The sequence below is a fragment of the Homo sapiens genome, chromosome 1 (genome assembly GCF_000001405.40).
Source record: "Homo sapiens chromosome 1, GRCh38.p14 Primary Assembly".
NCBI lineage: Eukaryota > Metazoa > Chordata > Mammalia > Primates > Hominidae > Homo > Homo sapiens.
In genome coordinates, this window is record NC_000001.11 from 25,079,859 (window position 1) to 25,104,927 (window position 25,069).

The window sequence follows — 25,069 nt, forward strand, 5'->3', positions numbered from 1 at the left end:
AGGATGGTCTCGATCTCCTGACCTTGTGATCCACCCGCCTCATCCTCCCAAAGTGCAGGGATTACAGGCGTGAGCCACTGCGCCCGACCCAGCAGGTGACTTTTTAGAGACATTCAGGGGTTCCCTGGCTAGTGCAAAAGGCACAGAGACCCTTCCACCACCATGTTCTGTGCTACCTTCTCCCCTCACTTTCTCAATGGAGCATTTCTTCCTGAAGTCCCCAGCCTGCCCCTCCAGGATACAAAGCTCACCAAAATTTGGTGGCTCTATCTAGGCTCTTGGCCATCAAGCCAAAAAAAAAAAAAAGTAGCTTCAGTCCTAATGCCACATACAAGCTGGCCTTAATATCAGAGGGAGATATCTTTCTCTTTAAGCAGAGCAGACTCTTTGGGAATGCATCTCTGGGTGGCAGAGAGAGCCCAGAGGAGCCAGAAAGGCCAAGGCCTATGAATCCCAGGAAATAAGCTCTGTTGTTCCTGCGGACTCACAGGGAGAGAGGAGAACACTCAGCCTCTTCCTCCCTGACAAGTGAACACACTTCACAAAGACTTAATCATGGGTGGAAAGTCCTCACTCCTCCACCTCTTCGGTCATAGGCCACTTTAACTCTCACCTCGACCAGAGAGACAGTCTTCCCACTGGTCTCTCCAGTTTCACTTTTAGCCCCTGTATTAGGCCAGGCTGGGCTGTGCTGACTCAGTGGCTGGCTTGAAGGAACAAAGATTTCTTTCTGTCCATTGCTGGTCAGGTGCAGCTCTGATCCGTGTCATCCTCACTCTGAAACCAGGGTGGATGGAGCCTCCTTCTAGAACACTACAAGTTGTTTTGGAAGAGGGGAAGGAGATGTTGCAAAATCATGCAATGCCCTAAAGCTTCTGCCCAAAAGTAGCACATGGCACTTCTACTCAAATTTCATTGGCCACAGCAAGTCATATGACTAAACCTGATGTCAATGAGGTAAGAAAGCAGGATCCTCCCACAGGGAAGAGAAGCAAATAGCTGAGAACAAACGAAATCATCATGTCCCCTGCTTCAAACCTCCACTTTTCACTCATGCTTAGGATAAAACCCCAGCTCCTGCCAGGCCTGGCCCTGCCTCCTGCACTCCTCATTCTCAGTTCCTCTCCTGCTTCCCGCTTGCTCCAGCAGCCTGCCAAATATGCAAGCTGGTTCCCGCCACAGGGCCTTTGTACAGGCTGCTCCTCAGGCCCAGGTCAATGCTTTAACCCAACTCTCCCCAGGCCTGCCTTTTCCCATAGTTTAGAGTTCAGCTTAAACGTCACAGAAGAGAGGCTTCCTTGACCATCCCATTATTCTCTCCCATATTACTCTGTTTATGCCCTTTCTAACACTAATCAAGCTGGAATTCACTTGTTTCTGTAACAGTTTTATTATGTATTGTGTGTTACACTCACACACCAGAACACAAGCTTCTTAGGAGTGCATGTATCTGTCCTGTTTGCCACGGTACAGCTCTCTCAGCAGGAGCTCAGCAAATGTTGGTGGCACAAATGAAAGAATTGGGTTGAGACAGGAGGAGCCAAGCCTGGTCCCGAGAGCCCAGTGCATTTCAGCATCATGAACCCTTCCCACACCCAGGTGGCATTGCAGGGTGTGCAGTGTGGAGCCCAAGCCTCCCTGTCCTTGCCCACCCACGTCACTTCACTCACAACCAGAAGGTACATTATGTGCTGGCAAAAAAACTACAAGCAGATGTGATCATTTTATCAGATGGCCACTCTGGACTGGGAGCTGTGGTCTGCATCCTAACCACAGTGCCTGGAAGCCTGTGAGGTGGGTGTCATGATCCTGATTTACAGGTAGGGGAACAGGTTCAGAGCAGTTGGCAGATTTGCCTACCCTGGCTGTGAGGCTCTCAGCCAGAAAAACTGGAATTTTTGAACCTGAGACTGGTTCTAAGCAATGCCTGGGTGGATCTTCTGTGCCACCTGACAGTTTTGGAAGCAGGGGCTGTCTGCATAGCTGTGGGACACAGAATAATGGCCTCCAAAGAGCCCCATGTCTTGATCCCCGAAACCTGTGAATACATTACTTCCATGGCAAAAGGACTTCACACATGTGAGTGAGTTGAGGCCCAAGATAGGCAGAGAATCCTGGGTTATTCCTTGAGATACATGGGGCCCGCCTGGATGAGGGAGGCAGGTGTACGGAGTCAGCGAGAACAGGAGACACTAGGCTGGTGGCCTTAGGTACAGAGGAATGAGGTCATGAGCCAAGAAAGATGGGTGGCCTCTGGAAGCTGGAGAAAGCAAGGACACAGATTCTCCTCCAGAGCCTGCAGAGGGAATATGGCCCTGCTGGTCCCTGGATTTTAGTTCAGTGACACTTCTGACCTACAGACCTAGACAATAAGAGATTCGCACCGTTCGAAGACAGTAAGCCAGTGGTGACTTGTTTTGTTACGGCAGCGGTAGGAGAGTATACAACCCCTCATTGTACTGGGGATGTATCCTGTCTCCCTAGTATCCGCAATTGAACCGCGGGTTCCCTGATCACAGGCACCCAGCAAACGGTGACGTGGCACACACAGGCATTTAATAATGACTCAGGGGCTGCGCTTCAACGGCAGGGGCGAGAGGGATTCAGTGAATCCAAGAGGAGGAAGCTTGAGAGGACATGTGGGTGAAACCAGACAAATAAGGTGGAGGGAGCAGGATGCTGGCTGGAGAGGCCCCCCAACACCCGCCCCTGCAGCACTGCAGAGAACCCAAACCCACTGCTGGAAGGAGCCCCCAGCTCGGCCAATGGCTCCCATTTTACACACGCAAATGCTGAGACCCAGCGTGAGCAAATGGCTCCACCAAGGTCACTCAGCAAGCCGGTGGCCAAGACGGGATTCGAAATTCCATCACGTGACTCCTGGCCCATCTTGTTCCCATGCCTGCAGCCAGCCCTGACCCACCTTAGGTGGTGAAGACCTCCCTCATCGAGGTACGCAGGGGCTGGGGGCCAGGAGCAGGTGGGGGTGGGGGCGTCGTTGAGAATCCAAGCAAGCTCCTCACCCCAGAGCACCCCTGGATCAGGGAATGTGATGTGACAGGGAATAGAGCCCCGGCTCTAGCGCCAGACCTGCTGAGGTGTGACTTACAGCAAGCTCCTCTCTCTGAGCCTCAGTTTCCCCATCAAGGGATTGGACTTGATCTGCAGGGCCTTTTCTGGCTCTCGTGTGGCATGCTCTGCCATCAGGCCGGCCGTGCTCTCAGCCCCTGTCCCTGACACCCCTCTGGGCCCCTGCAACTTCTCAGCCAGCTCAGCTCCTCTCCCAGCTCTGGCCTGCACCAGCGGGGCTACAGTGGCCCAATCCCCAACCCAGAGCTGACAGACTGGTGTTTCCCACCCTGTCCTGACTTTGCCCCACCCCTCCCTTTTACCTACCAGCACAGTCAACCTTCCAGCCTAGCTTCCCTGGGGCTTCAGCCCCAAAAATTGGGATTCTCAACCCAGAGGGTAGTGGGTGGGCTCAAATTACTCAATGTCAAGTAGAATCTGGCCACGATGCCTGAGTCTCTCCTGCCCCCAACTCCCCATCACTGGGCCATCCTTGCCCCCATCTCAGACCCTCTATGACCATCGCCCACCTGGGCCCCAGCATTTGGCTCTTGTTCCCTACAGCCTGGCCTAGGCTGTCTCCTAAGGCCTCAGAAGACTTCAAGTTCCTCCCAACCCCAACAGCTTGGTATCCTTCAACCACAGAGACTGTCCAGCTCCCTGAACCTCTCAACTCCCATCCCTGTAGAGAAGCCTACAAAGAAGTGAGTCCTACTTCAAAAATCAATGCACAGAGAGGGTTGGCAACTGCCTGGAGGTCACACAGCAAAGTCATGGAGCTCCAAAATTCAATGTCTTCACCTGAGACCATTCCTGAGCCCCGCTACCCCTGCCCAGGAACTTCCTCCAACAGCCTGAAGGACAGGGAGAGCAGCCAGCCCCGCTGACCGATGTCCAAGACCGCAGTGATGCTATTCCTTCCTCGAGTGAGCTCTGCCCACCCTGTGCCAGATTTAGCCATTTAATGCAACCAGACCTGCTCCGTCCCTGCCTCTGAGATTAGCTCTGGACCGGGGCTTTGAATGCCTGCCCAGAGACACTCAGCTTAAAACACCAGGAACCAAAAAAAAAAAAAAATCGACCACATTTAATGGAGCCGTCAGCGGGCGGGTCTGAATTGTCCATTATGTGACCCTACCCGCCTAGGGAGCCGAGCCATGTGGCCACCTGACCACAGCATTAAGGCGACATCAGCCCGCAGGCCAGGCGGGGGTGGAGCTACCAGAGTCTTTGGCCTGGGGCGCCTGCCTCTCCATCCTCAAGGCCCAGGGCCCCAGGGATTCTTGGTGCCACTCAACAGGCAGGAAGGCAGCAGCTCTCATTGGCTAAATCTACCCCTTCTGGTCTCAGGGCCCCACTCCTAGATACGCCCTGCGTATGTCTCTATGGCCTGAGACTCCCTCTGTTGCAGAAGTCGAGAGAGCATCAGTGTCTGTCCCTCAAATAGTGCCCTGGCTAATGCCTGATGTGCCACTATTGTTGCCATTTCCTTTTGCTATTTAAAAATTGCCATTGTTAACATCCAAGTTGCTCTAGACACTATCTCCCAAAATGTGTTCCAGGAAACATTAATCTCTCAAGATGCATAGAAAACAAAAAGAAGAGGGAGGGCTCCACAGTCAAGCAAGTTTAGGAAGCACTGCAAATGCTAGTCCTCTTTTGGAGAGTTACAAGTCTAGCAAAGGCTCTGAGGAATCCTGCAATCGAGTTGGAGTTTCTTTAATCCACTCCCCAGACTTACTTCATTACAGAACCCTCCCCTTATCTTGGCAGAGCATCCATTAATATGCTGAAAGCCTAGTATACCAGGGAAAACCCTTTGGGAAATGACATTTTAGGGGTTTGAGTCCCTCTCCTTCCCCCAAGCCTCAACTGTGGTCAGAAGCTCCAATTATGAGGCTGGTCAAAGCCAGTGAAGAGAGGAAGGGTGACTCCAGCCTTCAGTGACAGGTGAATGTAAGGGTCACAGTCACAGTCTCACCCAGAATTGAGGAAGGGAACATGGATCCATCCACGCCTAGATGCAAGGAGGGCGTCATGCCACATGGTGAGAAGAGCATGTGGGGTGCCCTCTAGCCCCCATCCCACCCAACTCTGGTAGAGCAGCAACTTAGCCATGGAAGAAAGTTCTAACACCCTTGTTAGAGCTGGCTCTCAGAAGCCCGAACACTGAAACCTCTGCTCCCTGAAGATTTCTTCTGCAAATTCACAGGCTGCCTAGTGTTCTGGCAGAAGCCCCAAGCAAGACAATGCAGGCCTGGATTCTGCTCCTGCTTTTCCTAGTGGCCTGCTATGTGACCCACGGAAGGCCTTCAATCTGTCTGTGCTGGTACCCACAGGTCCGAGCCCCAGGGACCTCACTGCATGGACACGCATCTTCTGCTGCTCTCCCAGGAATATTGGGCTGATTGTGTGAGGTGTCCTGAGCTCCCACCACCCAAGGTTTATGAAGCACCTTCTCTGTGTCAGCCCTGTGCAAGGTGCTAGATCCTCAGTTTACCCCCTTCTGCAAAGCCATGATTGTCTTACTGAAGGCCAGTCTGTAGCTCCAGTCGCTCCAGTCTTCAATGAAGATAAGCAATTTGGTAAACGTGGATCTCCTGTGAGAGAAGAAAGCAACTGGGGCATCAAAGCTCCTTTTAGGTAAATTTTCCAGGGCCACAGAACTCATGCAGAGTGACAGATTGTATTTCCAAAGATGGCCACCACAACAATTTCCAACCCATGTGCTCTTCTCACACTGTGACATGACCTCTGTTCCCTCCCTGGATCCTGAGACAACGGTGGAAGACACACTACTTGACTTTGGAGGCTAGGTCATAAAAAGCAACACAGCCTTCCCTTGGCCCTGTTGGGATGCTCCATTTTAGAACCCAGACACCATGGTATTAGGAAGCCCAGGCCACCTGGAGAGACTGCATGTAACAGGCTGAGCTGAGGTCCAGGAGATGCCAGCCTCAGACATGAATTTGAGAAAGGCTTCAAAATGACAATGACTCCAGCCCCAGCCGTAATCTGACCACAACTGCAGGAGAAACCTGAGCAAGAACTGACTGGCTGAGCCCCGCCAACACCCAGAAAAGAGAGATAATAATAAAATGATTGTCATTGCCTTAATTTGCCTGAATGGGGGAGTGATATTTTGTGAGCAGTAGACACTAGGAATATGTGGCAAGAAGCTTCTTGCAAATCACCTTTGCAGGATTGAGGAGGGCCTGTCACACCCTGGAGTGTCCCTCCCTCTATTCTATCCTTTGCTGAACCAAAGGATGCACACAGCTCTCTGTAACATGATAACAGTCCACACCAACTGGCTGAAACATTGGAAAGCCCGTGTCCCTATGAGGTCTGGGCTACGAGGAGTGCTGTTGGCCTCAGCCCCTACAACTCCTGTTAAAACTTATTTCCTGAAAACAGGAAATCTGAATCAAGTATGGACTTCAGTTAATACCAATACATCAATGCTGATTAAGTAATCATGACAAATGTACCATACCAAGAGATATTAATAATAAAGGAAACTAGGTGGGGGATATACAGGAACTCTGAACAATCTTCAGAATAATTCTGTAAATCTAAAACTCTTCTAAAACAAGAAGTTTAGAAAAATCATCGATTTCTGGCTGATTAGAATAATTCCCCATATTGAGGGCATGTCAGCCTCATGCCAGTGCTTGACATACATCCCTATGATGTCCAAAACATCTTGCCGGTTGGAGATCATGAGCCCTACTCCACAAATGAGGAAATGAAGACTCAGAGAGGTTGAGTGCCTTGCTCAAGGCTGCACAGCTGGCATGGGATGGGAAGGGCCATGATTGGAGGCAGATCTCACTGACTTCCCCTCCCCAGGCCACCTCTCTCTTCTGGGGAGGCTGAAGCAGGGAAGAGAGTAGCCCATGGAGAGCACCCAGGCCTAGACCCCATCTTGGTTCTGTCCTTCACTGGCTGTGTTTCTATGGGCAGCTTTCTTTACCTCTCTGAGCCTCAGTTTCCTCATCTGAGAAATGGGATGCAGATGCAGGGTTCCTATGGGGAGTAAAGAATGTACAGGTACTGTGTTTCCATCACAAAATGATCCGTGCCTGCATTTCCAGGAGGGTTTCCAGAGTGGATCAGTGACCAGTCTGACATCCTTCCAGCTTCACAGCCTGGGATGCTGTGAATCTGTCTCTGTAATTGTTCAATGCCTAGCCAGTGGTCTGGAGTCCAGACAAGGCCAAGGACCACAGAGTGGCCAAACTCAGCCTCTGGGTGCCCTGAGCAAACCATCCCCACTGCATCCGGATGGAGCCCTCTCCCCAGGCACACAAAGCCTTGGCTAAGCTGCCTCCACTGAAGGCACCTGATGGAGGATTCTAGAGGAAAACTCCTTCCCTTCCTCCTTTTCAATTCACTTCCAAATTTACCACCAGAATGCGCTGTCCCTCCCGCTTGCCCCTCAGGGTCCAGTTTCTACCTTTCTCCACCCCTCTCTGAGCCTGGGAGGCTGACCTACAAGGGCGACATCAATATACCCCACACCCTGAGGCTTCCCATTGGGTTCGGCTGCTGGAGTCACAGGCAGAGAGAGGAGCTCACAGAGACAGACTCGACATCCCAGACTGGGAAAGCTGGAAGGGCACTTGAGAGCTTGTGTCCACCCCACCAATGAGGCTTCTGGGGCCCAGAGAGGGAAGGGGGCCCTGCCCAGGGTCACACAGGGAGCAGGTGGCTGGCTAATTCTCAGTCGAGTCAACATTTGTGGGTGGGGAGGATGGAGAGGCAGCAAGAAATATGCCACCCTGGGCACCCAGGGAGCTGGAGCTCCAGGAGAGAGAAGCAGGCTGAAGGGCACTTATTCCAGCTCCCTCTGTATCTGAAGTCACCCTCCCCAGCCCCTCCATTTGGGATACTCCTCAACAAAGATTCAGACCAAACACTCACCCCTACCCCAACCCCAGGCTGATATCTGTAGACAAACCTCAGCTATCAGGCAGGACAATGGTGTTGGGTGTCTAACTCTAGAGCTAGTTCAATTCCTGACTCTACTGCAGACCCATTGTATGTGAGCTCCGGCAAGTGACTTAGCCTTTGGTGCCTCAGTTTCCTCTTCTGTAAAGTGGGGATAACAACAGTGCCTGCCTCATGGGGCTGTGAGGATGACATGAGTTGAGACTTATAAAATTCCAAAGCTGTGTCTGGTCCTCAGCAAACACCCATTACTCCCAGGACCCATCGTCACCCCTAGGTCACAGCCAAGCTGGAAGGGCTTTGGGGTGGGCCAGTCCAACCTGCCAGAGCACAGATGGGGAAACAGAGCCCCTCAGCTGGGCCCCTCCCAGCTCCCTGCCCAACCCTGTGCACTTGAGATGTGCTGGGGAGGGTGGGAAAAGGGGGGGCTCTACTTCCTGTTCCCTCCCCCTGCCTCTTCACTGGGGCCACCTCCAGAGCCAGCCTTAGCGGCTCCTAGAAGTCCCCACAGCCTAGAGTTTGGCGCTGGAGCCAGATCGCTCTCTGTTCCTGTCTACTTCCTGAGCCAAGAGGCCCACCATCATGCAACAAGTCCATGGCCCAGGACATGCGGGCATCTATCCAGCATTCATTTACTGAGCACCTACTGTATGCAGATCCTGCAGTGGGCATTGAGGAGACCTCAGAGACTAGAACATGGGTCAAGGAGACAGACAAGAAAATAGACAGATGTAACCCCCGTGATCAGTGCCAGGATATGGCCTGCGGGTGCTGAGGAAACACCTGGCTCAGCTTGGGGGGCAGGGGTGAGAGGGGGCTGGTCAGCCTTCCCTGGGCTGGGGGGTGGTATTTGGTGCAAAGACATAAAAGATGTCTTTGAGCTAATCAGATTCCTTTATTCTTTTAGTCAACAAATATTAATTGAGCACATGCTATGAGCCTAGCGCTGGAGATGATGTCAAAATGGCAGTGAACAAAATGGATGAGGTTCCTGGAGACAGTCAATAAACCCACAAGTAGATGAAACGGCAAGTGTTGATGGGCTCAAGAAGGAAGATGATGCAGGAACAGATGGATGGGAGGGAGAAGGGAGGACAGGCAGGGGCTGTTTGGGATCAAGTGGTCAGGGTAAGCCTCTGTGGGAAAGAGCACTGGGCGGAGGCCTGAGGGAGTGAGGGAGCGCCATGTGGCATCTGAGGGCAGGGTGTCCTAGGCAGCGGGAACAGCCAGGCCACAGGCCTGGGAGTGTGCAAGCATGGCCCACAGGAGGCAGTGCAGGGCGTGTGGCACAGCTGGGGTCGACGTGTGTGTCAGAGCAAGTGGGGAGGGGAAAACGGGAGGAAGGGCTGAGTGGGAGCAGGATGGGGAGGGGCTTTGGAAGGTAAGAAGACTGGGTTTTCTCCTGGGGCCAGTGGGAGCTTTGGAAGGGTTTAGTGAGCACTTGTGCTTCTCTTGCTCATGCCAAACAGCGACCCAGATCTCCTGTCCCACATGGCAGGGGGGCGTGGGGTAAGGGTGGTCGTCCCTGCCTACCCATCCCCCAATACCACCACACGCTGGTTGTATTCAAACCTCCACCTGGGAAGACCAAGTCTCCCTACCCCAACCCCCAGCCATGGCCGAATGGTTCCCAGATCCACACAGGACAGAGGCAGGTGCCAGACCACACCAGGGCCAGTGTGTTTGAGGGACACACTCCGAGGTCTGGGCTGATGATGCCCCCACTCACAGGCCAGAGCACACCTGACAAAGGGAAGGAACCGGGAACCTTGGGTCCTATTCTGACCCTGCCCCCGAGTCCCCGTGAGCCTGGGGGAGCCCTGTCCCCTCCCTGGATATCAGTTTCCCCATGAGGACACCGCCAGGTCTTCAATGCCACAACCCCACCTTGTCCTTCTGTCTCCACAGCAGACTTGCTTCTGGGTTTGACCTTCCCAAGCTCCAGGGCTGCCCTCCCAGAGCATCCAGAAGCATCCACTCCATTTGGGCCACTCACTCCAGGGAGGCTTGAGGCCTCTGTTAAAGAGCCACACTCCGGAGACCTGCATCTCCCTAAGGCTCCCGGAACCCAGTCTCCCCTCCTACCCCGCTGCCCAGTGCTCCTCCCCTGCCCTTCTATCATCAGCTCCAGCTGCAGGAGGGGCGCCTCTGCTCATTCCACTGGAGGCTCGACCCCATGCTCATTTATTTCAGACATGACCTTTGATTTCTCGGGTAGAGTGTAAATTACATGTCGCCAGCATAAAATATTAAATCCAATTTATACTTAATTATTGATGCTATTATGTATTCTATAGTAATGGCAACAGAAATCTCAGCCCCCGTCCATGCCCAGTAAATAGCTTTTTTGCATTAGAGGCTCCTTGAGGTAAGAAATCTTGCTCCATTCCTTCTTAACCGTATGATTGATGATTATGGGGAAGTTCGTAAATAGTCTTCCAGAAATATTTCTCTGGTCGTCCGTAGCTCCGAAGGAAGGGGGCGGCGGGGGGGGGGGGGCTGTGCTAATTATCGGGGCGGTCGGGCGGATGCAGCGCGCCCCACCGCCATTTAGATGGGTGGGTTGAGGGTTGGCGAGATGGGGATGGTTTAAGCGAAACCATGCTGAGTGGTTTAAGGCAGAGCGGAGGAGCACAGAGGTTTTCTGAAGGCTTTAAGTCACATGTAATCTTCGCATGGACATTGGGGTTTTGTTTTTTATTGAAACATTAATAATTCTGGTTTCTTGTAAAATATTCATGGTTCCTGTTGCTGCATTCAACCCCACTCTCGGCCGCTGCTTTTAATTTCCAACTCAGCCCGTGAAGGCCTCTGCCGTCGACCACCCATTGCTCCAGTGCAATTTATTAAGTGGAGGTAACGGTGGCCATTGGGTGGTCAGAAAAATCGAGCTCAGGGTTTCTCTGAAGCAACTAGTCGCAAGCCAGAAAGGCCCAGGAGCAGGCAAGGCTGCTGCTGGGCAGGCAGATTGAGCACTTCAGGGCTGAGCACTTCAGGACTGAGCTGGGGAAGGCAGAGGCAGGGTGGAGGAGGCAAAGGGGGATGACGAGGGAGGAAAAAAGCTGCCCAGATGGTGGGAGAGCATCGTGACAGCTCAGGGCAGGGAACAGCAGAGCAGAGCCACAAAGAGCGCAGGCTCTGAGGAGAAATGACCAGGCTCCACTCTACCTCCAACTCGCTGTGTGACCTTGGCAAGTGGCTTCACCTCTCTGAGCCTCAGATTCTCCTCTGGAAAACGGGCTCTGCTCGGCCGATGGCAGCCTCGACAGTTGCTGTCGTGTTGCATCAGTGTTGTATGTTTGGAGAGATCTTAAGAGACCTAGAAGTTTAGCCCCTTCTTTGAACAGCTGAGGAACAAAGCCCAGAGAGTGGAAGTGACTCACTCATGGTCCTGCCTTTATCACCTTGTGAATAAGATTCCATGCCCTTTTCAACCTGAGCTCTGCAATTCAGATTCTTTAAAACCAGTCAACATTCTGAGAACATTGCCTGAGTTCATCCATGGAGCCCTGCCCAACCACATCCCACGCCACCCCAAAAGAGCTATTAAAAGGCCTGGCTGCCATTGCAGCTGGGGTCCTGTCCCTCCCCCACCTCCCATCAGGGTCCGTCCACCAGGGTGGATGCAGTTCCCTGGGGCCCTGGCTACTGGTGCAGCGCAGCAGAGGCTTAATATTAATAGAATCCCAGAATGTCAGCCCTGGAAGTGACCTCAGCAGTCAGCTTCCTCTGCTCCATGGCTTTGTGGGTGAGGAAACTGAGGCCCAGAGGAGTTAAATGATTTGCCAAATATTGTGCAGACACAGACAGAACCACAGCCCCCAACCCCTTAACCTACGGATCTCTATGTTGACTCTGCCTGTGGTGTGGTGGGATGAGGAGAATTAGCCCCGAGACTTTCAGCAGGAGTGACCATAAGGCCACAGACGTCTGGGCTCCAGCCAGAGGTGGCCACCACTTGCATGTGTTTCCCAAGCCAGATCCAGCTCTCTGTGCATCTGTCTGTAATCAGAAATCTGTCTATCCACAGCCAGGCATGCTCGGATTCAAATGGCCAGATGGTCTGTGCATAGATCCTACAAGCCAAACCCCTGTAGCCCCAGTCCAGGTGTCAACACATTGAACTGAGGGGCCAGGAGGTACCAGTGTCCCCAGAGGAGTGGGAGTCCTTGTTGCCCCAGGAGACAGGTGGGGATGTGACTCTCTGGCCCACCTGCCCCAGAGGCAGAAAGGTAGCCCACAGAGCCAGCCACAAAGCCAGGAAAGGGGCACACAATCCCTGAAGCATGAGTTCCCCAAGTTCCCAGTTATCCCTGGCACTTACAGCTTTCCTCCCTTTGGTCCTAAATTCAAATATATCTTGTTATTAGTAATACAGACAACTTAGGGAAAAAAGTAAAAACTACTCCAACTCCACCAGCAGAGATAAGCCCTAACCATTTTGTTAGGTTCTTTTTTTTTTTTTTTTTTTTTTTTTTTTTTGAGAAGGAGTCTTGCTCTGTCGCCCAGGCTGGAGTGCAATGGCATGATTTTGTCCACTGCATCGTCCGCCTCCTGGGTTCAAGCGATTTCCTGCCTCAGCATCCTAAATAGCTGGGATTACAGGCATGTGCCAGCATGCCTGGCTAATTTTTTTGTACCTTTAGTAGAGACAGGATTTCACCATGTTGGCCTGGCTGGTCTCAAACTCCTGACCTTGTGATCTGCCCGCCTCGGCCTCCCAAAGTGCTGGGATTACAGGCGTGAGCCACCGCACCTGGCCCCAGTTTCCATTTTAAGTGCACTTCCATTATTTTCTTCTGTGCACTTAGCCTGAACTTTCCCTTTTTTTTTTTGTTTCCTCATGTGAACAGAAACAGTAACAGAACATACTCTCCCTCTGGTTTGCACAGCTTCTGGCAGCTGCAGCACTGCCTTTTCCATATGAAGCACACTGCCAAATAACAAAGCTTGTCTCTCTCTCTTTGGGCCTCAGTTTCCCCTCTGGGCCAAGGGTGATCTCCACACACCCTACATCTCCACAGGGCCTGTAGCAGGGAGGCTTCCAGAACTGTGAGGACATCCAGAGGGACTCCTGGGTTTCTCTTTGATGTTCCCAGCCTAAAGTTCAAAGGGATGTGTCCCTTCTGTGGGGACAAGCCAGCAAGCCTTGACTCTTGCAGAAGCAGATGAGGGAGCCTGGGATCTGGGTGGCTGACAGACCTATACTGGGATCTCACAGGGAAGACCCAGAGTCCAGACTGTGGCCTCGATTCGTTTAAGCGTGTTGGAAGAGGCATCAGTAGATCCAAGATCTGTTCCCCAAGGCCACCCCGGGCCTCACCTGGGAAACTCATTAACAAAAGAGATCACTGGACCTCACCTGGGGGATTCTGATTCTGTAGGTCTGAAAAGAGCCCCCAGCCCACCAGTCCCAGAGTTTGCTTTCGTCAGGGGGAATAGGCCCTACCCAAGAATTTGATCCAAGATAAATTAAAGAATAAGTATAATTTCATGTAATGCTATACATGAATGAAGACTGGGAGCGAGTGGCTCTGTACAAAGGAGGCCCAGGGCCCACCTGCTCTGCATAGGAAAGGAACTGGAATTGGGGGAACATTGGCTGCAGCAGAGTGAGAGAAACAGGAGAAACAGGGTCTTTGACAGAGTCAAAGAAGGGACAGTGCAAACAAGAAATCTCTGCTGCCAGCCCAGGCCACATGGGAAGACCCTCTTTTTACTAAAAATACAAAAATTAATTGGGTGTGCTGGCACATGTCTGTAGTCTCTGCCACTCGGGAGGCTGAGGTGGGAGAATCTCTTGAGCCCGGAAGGCAAAGGATGCAGTGGGCTGAGATCATGCCACTGCACTTCAGCCTGGGCAACAGAGCGAGACTCTGTCTCAAAAAAAAAAAAAAATGGATGGTGAATATAGAAACACTATCCAAATGTGTGGTTGTCTCATTTCAAAAAAAGAAAAGAAATCTCTGCTTGTGGGTCATGGCTGAGACATTTCCAGAAGCATGATGTCTAGCATCAACTTTGAAATTGGTCACTGCCCTGTACTGACATTACCCCCTGCTACTCTCCAATTTTCAGGAAATGCCTGCTGCATACAATATCTTGTGTTGGGGGAGCTTTGGGAGTATAGAGGCAGAGAGGGGGTGTCCAGTATGGAGCAAAGAGGGTGGCAAGAGAGGAAGCCATCTAGGAAATCTAAGGTGTGTCCAGAGTAAGTGGCAGTAGGAATGTCTAAGGCCACAGCACAGAAATCATTCTGCAGGATGAGTGAGGGCAAATGGCGTTTTCCCTAAATGCACCAGAGGATGGAGACCCTCAAAAAGGGAGGAGGAAATACTTGGTGTATCAGTTAAGAGTGTTTGATTGCATACTGAAAAAAACAGTAACAGTGACTTAAACAAGGTAAAGGTTTATTTTTCACATAAGTCAGGAAGTAGGAGTCCACGTATGGTGGTTCTGCAATGTCCTCAATATCCTCAGCCCCTTGTATCTTTCTCCCTCACCATCCTTTGCACACAGCTTCCATCCTCGTGGTTGCCTCATGTTCCAAAATGGTTGCTGATGCATCAGCCATCAGATATGCATTCCAGGTAGAAAGAAGCACAAAAGAGCAAAAATGTCAAGTGCCAGCTGTCTGAATCCCCTTTCAGAGCTTTCCAAATAGTCCCCCCAAACCCCCAACAACTTCCACTGGGCCACAAATCTAGTCATACGGTTACATCAAGCTACAAGATAAACTGGAAAATGTGTTCTTTTAACAGACACAGGGCTGCCCTGGGTAAAACTGAGGTTCTGGTACTAAGAAGGAGCAGGCAATCACCAGTCTCTGGCAGAGACAGGTTTCACTTAGAGTAAGCAAAAATCTGTTGCCCTCTGGCTTCTACCTGTGGGTCCTGGTTCTGCCCTTTGGAAAAGTCTTTATAATTTCTAGTCTGTCTTCTAAATGACAGCCTTCCTCTGAACATTATCTTTTCTGGTTATTTCAGGCCCTTAACCACTTTTTAGGACACAGGCTGAGATAAGATGTAAAGCTTTCCTTATATCATTTCACAGATACTCTCCTTATATCATTTCACAGATACTCTTCAGTGTGCCCCCCACCTGCCCTCAACACACAGACACACACAAAACAGACACTCGAGCTCACAGTTGGATGGCCATGGAACAAACCCTTGGCAGGGTGCTGAATCTGAACACGGGAGGAAGGAGGACGTGCAGGCAGTGGGAGCCTCCCTGGAGGAGTGAAGTTTCAGCTGAGTCTGGAGGCGCGAGGAGTCAGCTAGGAAATGAGTGTGGGGAAGAGCATTCCAGGCAGAAGGAACAACAGGAAGGAAGGCCCAGAGTCACCGGAAGTGAGAGGAATAAGAGAGTACTCAGGGAACTAAAACAAACGGGGGTATGGCAGCGCTTCAGGACCTAGGAAGAGAGGAGCTCGAGGCGAGGACCTACCCACTGGGCATAATCTTTAGGAAGGTTGTTCAATCAGCAATGCTCCACCTGTTCTTGCCAACACCTAGCCTGGGCATTGTATCAAAAAGACAATGGAGTTAGTTCGGCAAGACTTTATTCCCAGGAGTCATCACTTTCAGTTGTTTTTCACTCTTCTAGAATGTTCCAGTAGTGCAAGGCTATGCCTCGTGGTTGGTCAGTAATTGCTCAGAATCTGAATATTCCTCTTTTTTGAAAATGATACAAGGCCCAGCACCACCCCCCCACCACCTCCCCACTCTCGCCAGCCTTCTAATGCCACGCTGGTTTTCATTCCTTAGGGATGGACATTATGGGGTCACTTCAGAGGTTCTTGCAGGGCTTGAAGATCTGAAGTCATGTAAAGGACCCTAGTATTCTCCTGTGGTGTTCTCACCTATCTTGGGCTGCCATTTATTTTTAACCATATTTGGTCTGCAAGTTGCCAAGAAACCATGTAGAGAAAACCAGTGTGGTTTGGGTTAAGCCCCAACAGGGTGCAGACAGCAGCCAAACTATTTCCTTCTTCCTCTAAGATTTCTTCTGCCGTCTTAGCCCAGAGCAGACCTGAAGAAAGCTCTCTCTGCAACCCTCTACTGCACCAGCTCCCCCAAGCTCTCCAGAGAGCCCAGCCCCAGCCCTCACCTGGAACCACTCCCTGACACTGGGGCGTGGGTTCTTCCGGTGGGAAATTGGCCAAGCACTGACCATAGAGACTATAAGGACGAAGGGAGGAATAGAGAGGCCTCCTCAGAAAGGCAGCAAGAAACAGCTCCGTGGAACATGGGGGGAAATGGATCAGGGAGATCATGGAGAGCACACACACTGAGCCTCACAGAGGGCAAGTGGAGCCCCCATCTCTTCCATCTTGGAAGGCTGATCATATTAAAAAGTGGGAGGAAATACTGACACAAAGTGCAAATATCAAGATCTATTTCAAATATTCACATGTAGCTAATTTAACACCCTAAAGATTACAGGGCAATTTAGTTGTGATATTCTCAAGATTGCTCCAGGACTGATGCTAACGCATGTAAATTTGTAGTGTCCTCCACAGTGAGGGGAAGTAATGGAACAGATTCTTCTCTCAGCTGAGTGGAAGGCCCTGTGTGATGGGTGTGTAACCTCATTTCAGGAGATTATCAAAAGTTAATGAGAGGCTCTTCCCAAATATCTCCAAGGAAGGACCATACACTAGAGCAATGGTTCTTAATAAGGAATGATTCTGGCCCTCTGAAGACATTTGGCAAAGTCTGGAGACATTTTTGGTTGTCATAACTGTGAGGGTTGCTACTGGCATCTGTTAGGTAGAGGCCAGGGATGCGGCTAAACATTCTACAACGCACAGGACAGCCCCCACCACGGAGAACTGCCCTGGCCCAAATGCCAATCATTCCAAGGTTGAGAAACCCTGGCCTTGAATGAGGCTACTCTAGATCCTCTCTACCAAAGCTGAAAGCCAAGCCTTGGCGATGACCACAGGGAAGAAGGAATGCAGAGACTGAGTCCCGCCAAGTTAAAAGGGCTTGGAAGAAAGCTTGGGCTTCACACAGGTCTGCCCTAACAAAGTGTAAAACCAAACCCACACACACACACTTAAGGTGATCGGCCAGTGATTAATTATCTAACTGAACACAAATCAACAACCTTCAGAGAAAGATAAGAGAATCCAGAATCTTTACAATGAGTCATGCATGGTTTACAGGCAAAAAGTAACACATGCAAAAATAGGAAAATGCAACCCCATCTCAGCAGAGAAATGGAAACTATTTTTAACAGAACCACATGAGCGTCCTGGAACTGAAAAATACAATGAGTAAAATTTAAAAATTCACTAGGCTGGGCACAGAGCCTCATGCCTATAATCCCAGCACTTTGGGAGGCTGAGGCAGGCGGATCACTTGAGCTCAGGAGTTCAAGGCCAGCCTGGGCAACATGGTGAAACCTTATTTCTACAAAAAACACACACAAAAATTAGCTGGGCACAGTGATGTGCGCCTGTAGTCCCAGCTACTCGGGAGGCCAAGGCAGGAGAATAGCTTGAGCCCAGGAGGCGGAGGTTGCAGTAAGCGGAGATCGCACCACTGCGCTCCAGCCTGGGCAATGGTAGTGAAACGCTGTCTCAAAAAATAAATAAATAAATAATAAATAAATCACTAGATGGGCTTAACAAGCAGATTGGAGATGGAAGAAGAAAGGGTCAGTGAACCTGAAGGCAAATCAATGGAAATTACCCAATGTGAAGAACCAAGAGACAAACAAAAATTGAAGAAAGGTGAACAGAGCCTCAGGAACCTTTGGGACAAGATCACAATGTCTAACGTATGTGTGATTGGAGTCTCAGAAGGAGAGGTGAGCGAGAGTGGGACAGGAAAGAAATGTTAAGACATAATGGCTTGAGATTTTTCCCAAATTTAAGGAAATGTGTCCAAGGTTCTACAAAGAGAAGAGCTGGGCTTGGAATCTGGTTCCTGTGGTTCAACGATAGGCTATGTCCTCTGTCACATGCTCCACAGGGGACCATGAAGGTACCTGTCCAAACCCAAAAGCCAGTGATCCTGTGGGTCTCTTGGTGAAGGAGCAGCTCAGAGACACGTTTGGGCACAGCCCGATTTTCTGGTACCACCATCCTGGTTCCATTTCCTGCTCTTGTTCTTCTAGCCTTGAATCACTGTTTCTAGCATCAGCACATCATCATCCTTTCTGGAATCAGGGTGAGTAAAATTTGGTGATAAATGTGGACAACCCAACAAAGAACATTCTCTTCCCAACTCAAATGGGGAGGGATCTGGGACTTACAGACTGCTTCAGCCCTATCAGGAGTGGGCTGTGGCAGGACTGTCACTCTCCTGCTGCCTTGTCTGGACCTGGTTTGAGCCTGGCACAACTCTGGGCTCTGTAGGGAGTACAGAGAAACCCCAACTCCAACACACACACACACACACACACACACACACACACACACAGCTCAGGGCACAGGTAGACACGGAGCCACATAGCCACAGGAGGACATCAACACACATACACTGAGTACGTACTGTAGACCAGGCGCTGAGGCACTAGCAGAATTTGGATAAGTAGAGAAGAAGGTGGCAGAAACACATAACCTGCATTTCAAGGGTAATACAAGATCTAGCTGCCTAGCTGGAGGGGGACATCTTCATTCATTCATTCGTTGTACCAATATTTATCAGGCACTCTTCTAAGGGATACAGCTGAAGAGATCTGGGGCCATAGAAAGGTGGGCTTCCACCCCAGGTGAGCACTTTAATGGGCCTGTGGAGCCCCAGCAAGTTGCTGAGCCGTGGACTGGCAGGAGCAGTGCCCAAGTCTGGGCTGCACCTGAGCAGGGCCCCAGCCAGCTCTTCCCAGTCACAGGCAGGGGCTGGCTTCACCTTGGGCTTCAGGGCAGTTCCCACCCAAAAGTGCAGCCCCTCTGCAGTGCCCTGGGCTCAGCTAAGACTGGCTCCTGGCTGTAAGAACATCGGCCTCTTCCCCTCCATTGGGGTTGAGTGGGCAGAGCGGTTGGCCTCAGCACATGATCATTCCTTGCCTATTCACTCATCATCCCAATTAGTGAGCTGGTGGGAGCTGCCCCCTCATTTCCACAATGATCTATCTGCACGTGCCTAATCCCAGGAGCTGAGCCAAGAGAAAAAGTGATAGCAAGGTCTTGAGACTTCTCTGAAGGGGCTGGGCTGGGGTGTTTTGGGGTAGAGCCACTGAAATTGACGGGTCCAGGGAGGACCTATGGAGACCCAAATTTGAAATCTGGTGCCTATGTCAGGAAACAGGACAAAAGCTGGTGGATTAATGACAGCATTTCACATCAAGGCTCACAGAGTTGAGCATTCTCAGACCAAAGAGTCCATCTTTTCTCCATACACAAGGCGAGGGGAAGCAGGGAGAAATACAAGAAAACAATCACAAACCAAAGCTGAGGCCAGCAGGGACAAGGCACCGCAGCGTGTTTTTGGCTGCTTCTTTCTTCTCTGTCTTCTCCTGGCAGAGTGCAGCTTCCCCTTTGCTGACCAGACAGCACTGACCATCGGCCTCGAGAGATCTGGACTCCTTTAGCCCAAGTCGCTTCTAGTTGCTGTTGACACATTCACCACCTGCTTCCTGCTCTGCCAGAGCCACTCCAGGGAGGGCGTGATGGGGAAGAAGAGCTCTGGTCCCTCCTGTCTGCACGCAGTCCCAGGTCAGAGACAGCTGCGGTCACAGCCTCTTCCCCTCCTCTCTCTGCATGCAGCCACCCCCTGCCTCCTGTCACTAGCTCAGCTCAAAGGGCACCTCACAAAACAAGCCCCGGTGTGCACAGGGACATACGTGCACCCAAGATGTTCACCACAGCATTGCTTTAGCAGAATTCATCAGGTCAGTACAACAAAAGATCACACATTAAACATAAGACAGTCAGAGAGTGGGAAGTTGTTTATAATACACTAAGTCAGTGGTTCACGAATTTGCAGAGCAGCAGAACAATCTGGAGGGTTTGTTAAAACACAGACCACTGGACCCCACCCCCAGAGTCTCTGAGGTTTGGGGTTGAGAGGGAAAGCAAGAATTTGCACTTCTGACAAGCTCCCGGGTGATACGGATGTTGCTGTCAAGGGTCACACTTTGAGAGCCACTACATTAAGTAATAAAGAAAATTCAAAAATATATGCAACCTGATATCATTGTGGTTATGTGTAAATAAATGATTAAGATACTGGTGGGGCACAGTGACTCACACCTGTAATCCCAGTACTTTGGGAAACTGAGGCAGATGGATCACCTGAGATCAGGAATTAAAGACCAGCCTGGTCAACATGGTGAAACCCTGTCTCTACTAAAAATATAAAAATTAGCTGGGTGTGGTGGCACACGCCTGTAGTCCCAGCTACTCTGGAGGCTGAGGCAGGAGAATCGCTTTAACCAGGGAGGTGGAGGTGGCAGTGAGCTGAGGTCACACCACTGCACTCCAGCCTGGGCGACAGAGCAAGACAATGTCTCAAAAAAAGAAAAAAAAGATACTATCAGTCACTGTCTCTGTGTAATGACATCGATTCGAGGCTTTTTATCATTTTATTTTTTTTTCTGAAAAAAAGTTGTCTGCAGTAAACACAGTTATTTTTGTAATGAGAGAAAAATATTTAGGCACTTCCTTCATGACACCTCCCCAGGCATCCCCAGAGAGAAGTAACTGCCCCTCCCATCTCCCCCTTTCTGCTGGTGTCCTGCGGAGCTCTCCCTTCTGCCTTGTGTGGGTTAAGCTGTCCCCACACCTGTCCCCATCAATAGGCAGGAAATGCCTTACACAGGAACTCTAGCTCAGGCACCTCCCTGTCCCCACACAGGGCCTGGCATAGCGCATCTTTCTCCATCCAAAGCCAGTGGGAACTCACAAAGTGGGGTGGAGGTCATAAAACGAACGTGGACTCCCCAGTCCAGTGGCCTGGGACAAGCCTGAATTCTGCCACTGCTTGGCTTTGAGCTGTTTGGTCCCAACTATGGGTTCTGGGTTCTGGAATGGCCTAGCCTGCCCCCACTGGCCACCAGCTTGGCCTTCATAGCACCCAAAACCATAGCACCACCCCAGTTGGCTCCACATCAAAGGCCCTCCCCCACCAGGAAGCATTCTGGTTACCAAAATGGTCATTGGTGATGGCACCATTGTCCAGAGAGTCCCTGCAGGCCTGGAGATGCATTCCTTCAGGCCCAAAGACATGACTAGAAAACTGCACAATTGTCCTAACTCCAACACTTACCAGTAGCATGACCCTATATAAATAAACTTGCTATCTCTGCATCTTTATTTACCCACTTGTCCCATAATAAGGTTGCATTAGAGAAGTGACACTCACACTGCCCCCTCCTCAACCTCCCCCTGACAGACATGATTAATCAATCACATTATCCTATCTCCCTGAGCCAGGAAGCAGCCTCAGAATTTTCTTAACGCTAATTTCCAAGCATAGTTCTCCAATGCAAGCAAACCTTCAAGATAAAAGTTATTAAAATTAATTAATTGATTTTTTAAAAATATAAAAGCCATTTGCCATTGCTGACCTATATTATTCCCTGTTTCCCTGAAACCTAGAACAATGCTCAGCAGAGTAGCCATAGTCAATCTTCGTTCAATGAATCTACATGGATACACACCAGCTGTCACCGGTTATTATGAAAGGGAAATCTTTGGTAGCCACCAACCATCCTGTGCAAACTCCAGACCAACTACTTCCTCCTTCCAGGATCCCTGACCATTGAGTTGGCGCCCTCTGCTGTCCGTTGGCTGGTACTGCAAAGGACTGTCCATTCTCAGCCCTAAGGAACTGTGAAAATTGAGCAGAGAACGATGCCAGCCATTGACCTCGTAGTAAACAGACCCAAACTTCCTCATCATGATGACCTCCTGGGGTGGCTTTGGATGCAGTCGGCTGCAAGCCCCGCCAGACACCATGCACGTGAGTATCATTTAGTCTCTTTGAGCTTTGTTTTATCCTCCTCCCCTCTCCTTCCTGTGTCATCCGCAGAACTGAGGGCCCTCTGTTCCAATTCTCTCACTCCACAGCTGATAGGATTGAGGCCAAGTGAGGAGAGGGGATCAGTTCAAGGTCTCACACACCACTCAAACCAGAACTCGGGTCCCCATACTCCCAGCTCTGGGCTCATTGACACACCAGGTTGCCTTCCTCTTCTCTAACAGGTGGGACAGGACAGGCACAGTGGCTCACGCCTGTAATCCCAGCACTATGGGAGGCCGAGGTGGGTGGATCATGAGGTCAGGAGTTTGACACCAGCCTGGCCAACATGGTGAAACCCTGTCTCTACTAAAAATACAAAAATTAGCCAGGCATGGTGGCACACACCTGTAATTCCAGCTGCTCAGGAGGCTGAGGCAGGAGAATTGCTTGAACCTGGGAGGTGGAGATTGCAGCGAGCTGAGATCACGCTATTGCACTTCAGCCTGGGCGACAGAGCAAGACTCTGTCCCCCAAAAGAATCAGATAGGAAAGAAACTGCCCTGGGCTTGGAGTCCTTGCGTTCTCCAAGGGCTTCACCCACTTGCCGCGGGGTGGGGGACGGGGGGTGAGTTCTGCCTGGAGCTAAGGAGTTAGAGGGCCCCAGTTCAAACTCTCTGGCATCTTCTCGACATCTCTTTACCAAGATCTGCCTCATTTGGCCTCTACCCATCTCTCTGATGTCATCTCCCCACCCTTGCCCCCCATTCACTCTGCTCCAGCCATAACGGATGGCCTCGTTCCAACCTCAGGGCTCTTGCACTTGCTGTGGCCTTTTGTGGAACCTCCTGTCCCCAGATCTTCGCATGACTGAGTCCATCCTGTTTTTCCTCAAATGTCGTCTCTGCTGAGAAGCCTTCCTCCACCACCTGAAGGAAGTCCTCCCTCCCACCCCCACAGAGGTTTTGTCTGTGTCCTAGCCCCCAGCACTTGCATGGGCACTCAGCAGGCACTCAACTAACAGTTGTTGATTAGATGAGTAAATTAGGGGCTTGAAAGGGAGACACGAGGAGAGTCCTAGAAAGGGAGTCAGGGGTGAAAGACGTGAGTTGAAGGCCACCTCCACTGCTGGGTGACCCCAGGCAAGTCACAACCTCTCTGAGCCTCAAATTTTCCAATTCCATGGTCTGTTCATGCCTGGACAGCCTGAGACTCTCTGATCAGGGAGACTTCAGAGCCTACCCCAGAATGCAGGCCCCTCAGACCTAGTGAGGGGGGATGGTGGGCTTCTCCTTCCTCCCCTCTCTATGGTCCCCTCCACTAGTTTCAGGTCCAAACCCCTCAGGGAAGGGACAGAGGAAGCCAAGACGAATGGGCATCCCCACTCCCCAAGGGCAGGCAGCCCACATGAGGCCTCTAGGATAATTACAGCCAGCTGGGCTGCCTCTACCCCCTACCCCAGCTCCCTGCTCCCTGGAAGCTGGAGAAGCTCAGCAGCTGCCCACATGTGGTTATTTGAACAGGGAGTGGGAGAGGGAGCTGGCAGGTCCACTGCTGGGCCATGGTGCCAGCTGGGGCCAGCCCTGCCTGACAGCCTTGCTTGAGAACCCACGTGTACAGGCAGGGCCAGGAACGCTGAAGTGCTGGGGCTCAGCAACTTCCCTCCCAGGCTGAGGGGAGCAAGAGGCCACAGGCCTCAGGTCAGAGCCACATGTGGCTGTGGGCTGTTGTCAGCAGATCCCTGCACAGTGTAAAGCCACGCTGCAAGCTGGGAGTGAGCTGCTGACAGACGCAGGCCCACATGCCCTGAGGCTGAAAGGCAGGGATAGGAGCCAGGGCCAGACCCCCGAGGGGACTCTAGGGAGTTCAGATGGGGCTTCGCCATCAGGCCTGGGAGCCAGAGCCACGGCCAGCTGCTCTCTGCTCACGGGGAACGGGACGTCAAGATGAGCCAGGGTGGTCCCCCTCCCTGCATGAGGGGCTTCTCAATGATGGGGCATGTTGGATACCATGTTCCCAGCTTACCCCAGTAGAAACTGCCTTCAGGCAGGGAACCAACCTGGAAGGACTGAGTCACTGATTCATGCTGGGATGTCAATGACCAAGGGTAGATCTGAAGAGCTCTAGGTGTGAAGCTTCTGGGGTTCAGAGCCCTCCAACACATTATCCTAGGAAAACCTGGCAGAAAATGGAATGACTTGGTTTTGTGTTAAGTTCTGTGCGTGTGTGTGCGTGTGTGTGTGTGTGTCTGTGTCTGTGTAGATTAAGACAGAATTGTCTGACATCTTTTAAATGTCCCAAGAGATCCTCAGTCTCAACAAGTGCAAAACCAACTCAGAATCTACCCTTCATCCAAGCCAGTCTTCTCTACGGGGTCTCTCAGCACCCCCAGGTCAGCAGGCAGAAGCCCACGCCTCAGCCCCATCTCCATCTCCCATCCTTTGCTGATTCCCAGAGGTTTCCCCTCCTGAACACCTCTCGAGTTGACCACTTCTCTCCTAAATAGTGGCAACTGTGGGTTTCCCCATACAGACCTGCCCCCAGCATGCGTGTTGGGCCCCTAACTGAGCCACATGAGATGAAGACATTGACCAAGGTCACTTCTTTTTTTTTTTGAGATGGAGTTTTGCTCTGTCACCCTACCAAGGCAGCCCCTGCCCTCCTCTTTCTCTTGCTATTCCTGCTCCATCACTCTTAAGGGTAGGGTGTGGACACCACAGCCTGCACTTTCAAGCTCCAGCCGCATTCTTGCAAATGACAACTTCTTCACCACCCTCAGACCCAGGGGTCTATACCCCAGAAGCAGATCCTCCCCTAGGGGAATCGGAATGAGGAAGAGGCTCCTGAAGGAAGAGGGGTTGTGGGTAGAGGCCCCAAGAGGCAAATGCCCTTAGCCCATAGACTCTTCTTTCCATGGGGAGAGGCATGAGCCAAGGAGAGCCAGAGCAGGGCCCTCTAAAGTACAAAGCCCAGGGAAGGGTTCAAGGACAGGAATGTCCTCATCTCTGCTCGGACCTCCCCTGCCAATTTCGTCCCTATTAGAGGCAACCAAAGAGATCTTTTTAAAATCCAAGAGGATCATGTTACACTCCCCTGCTTTATTCCCTCAATGGCTCTCCATTGCTTTTAGGATA

At 51.3% G+C, this 25,069-nt stretch overlaps 5 annotated features.

Moving 5' to 3' along the window:
• Nucleotides 10,503-11,185: an enhancer, noted in NCBI's record as "H3K4me1 hESC enhancer chr1:25416852-25417534 (GRCh37/hg19 assembly coordinates)". NCBI's record gives its function as "activates a minimal SCP1, AML or CMV promoter by ChIP-STARR-seq in naive H9 embryonic stem cells {active_cell/tissue: H9 hESC(naive)}" and the evidence as "EXISTENCE:reporter gene assay evidence [ECO:0000049][PMID:30033119]".
• Nucleotides 10,503-11,947: a biological region, named in NCBI's record as "P300/CBP strongly-dependent group 1 enhancer GRCh37_chr1:25417097-25418296".
• Nucleotides 10,748-11,947: an enhancer, noted in NCBI's record as "P300/CBP strongly-dependent group 1 enhancer chr1:25417097-25418296 (GRCh37/hg19 assembly coordinates)". NCBI's record gives its function as "activates an origin of replication core promoter dependent on BRD2, BRD4, P300/CBP, MED14 and CDK7 cofactors, with strong dependence on P300/CBP, by STARR-seq in HCT116 cells {active_cell/tissue: HCT116}" and the evidence as "EXISTENCE:reporter gene assay evidence [ECO:0000049][PMID:35650434]".
• Nucleotides 16,199-16,248: an enhancer, noted in NCBI's record as "active region_443". NCBI's record gives its function as "activates an Ori minimal core promoter by ATAC-STARR-seq in GM12878 lymphoblastoid cells {active_cell/tissue: GM12878}" and the evidence as "EXISTENCE:reporter gene assay evidence [ECO:0000049][PMID:35858748]".
• Nucleotides 23,537-23,606: a silencer, noted in NCBI's record as "silent region_451". NCBI's record gives its function as "represses an Ori minimal core promoter by ATAC-STARR-seq in GM12878 lymphoblastoid cells {active_cell/tissue: GM12878}" and the evidence as "EXISTENCE:reporter gene assay evidence [ECO:0000049][PMID:35858748]".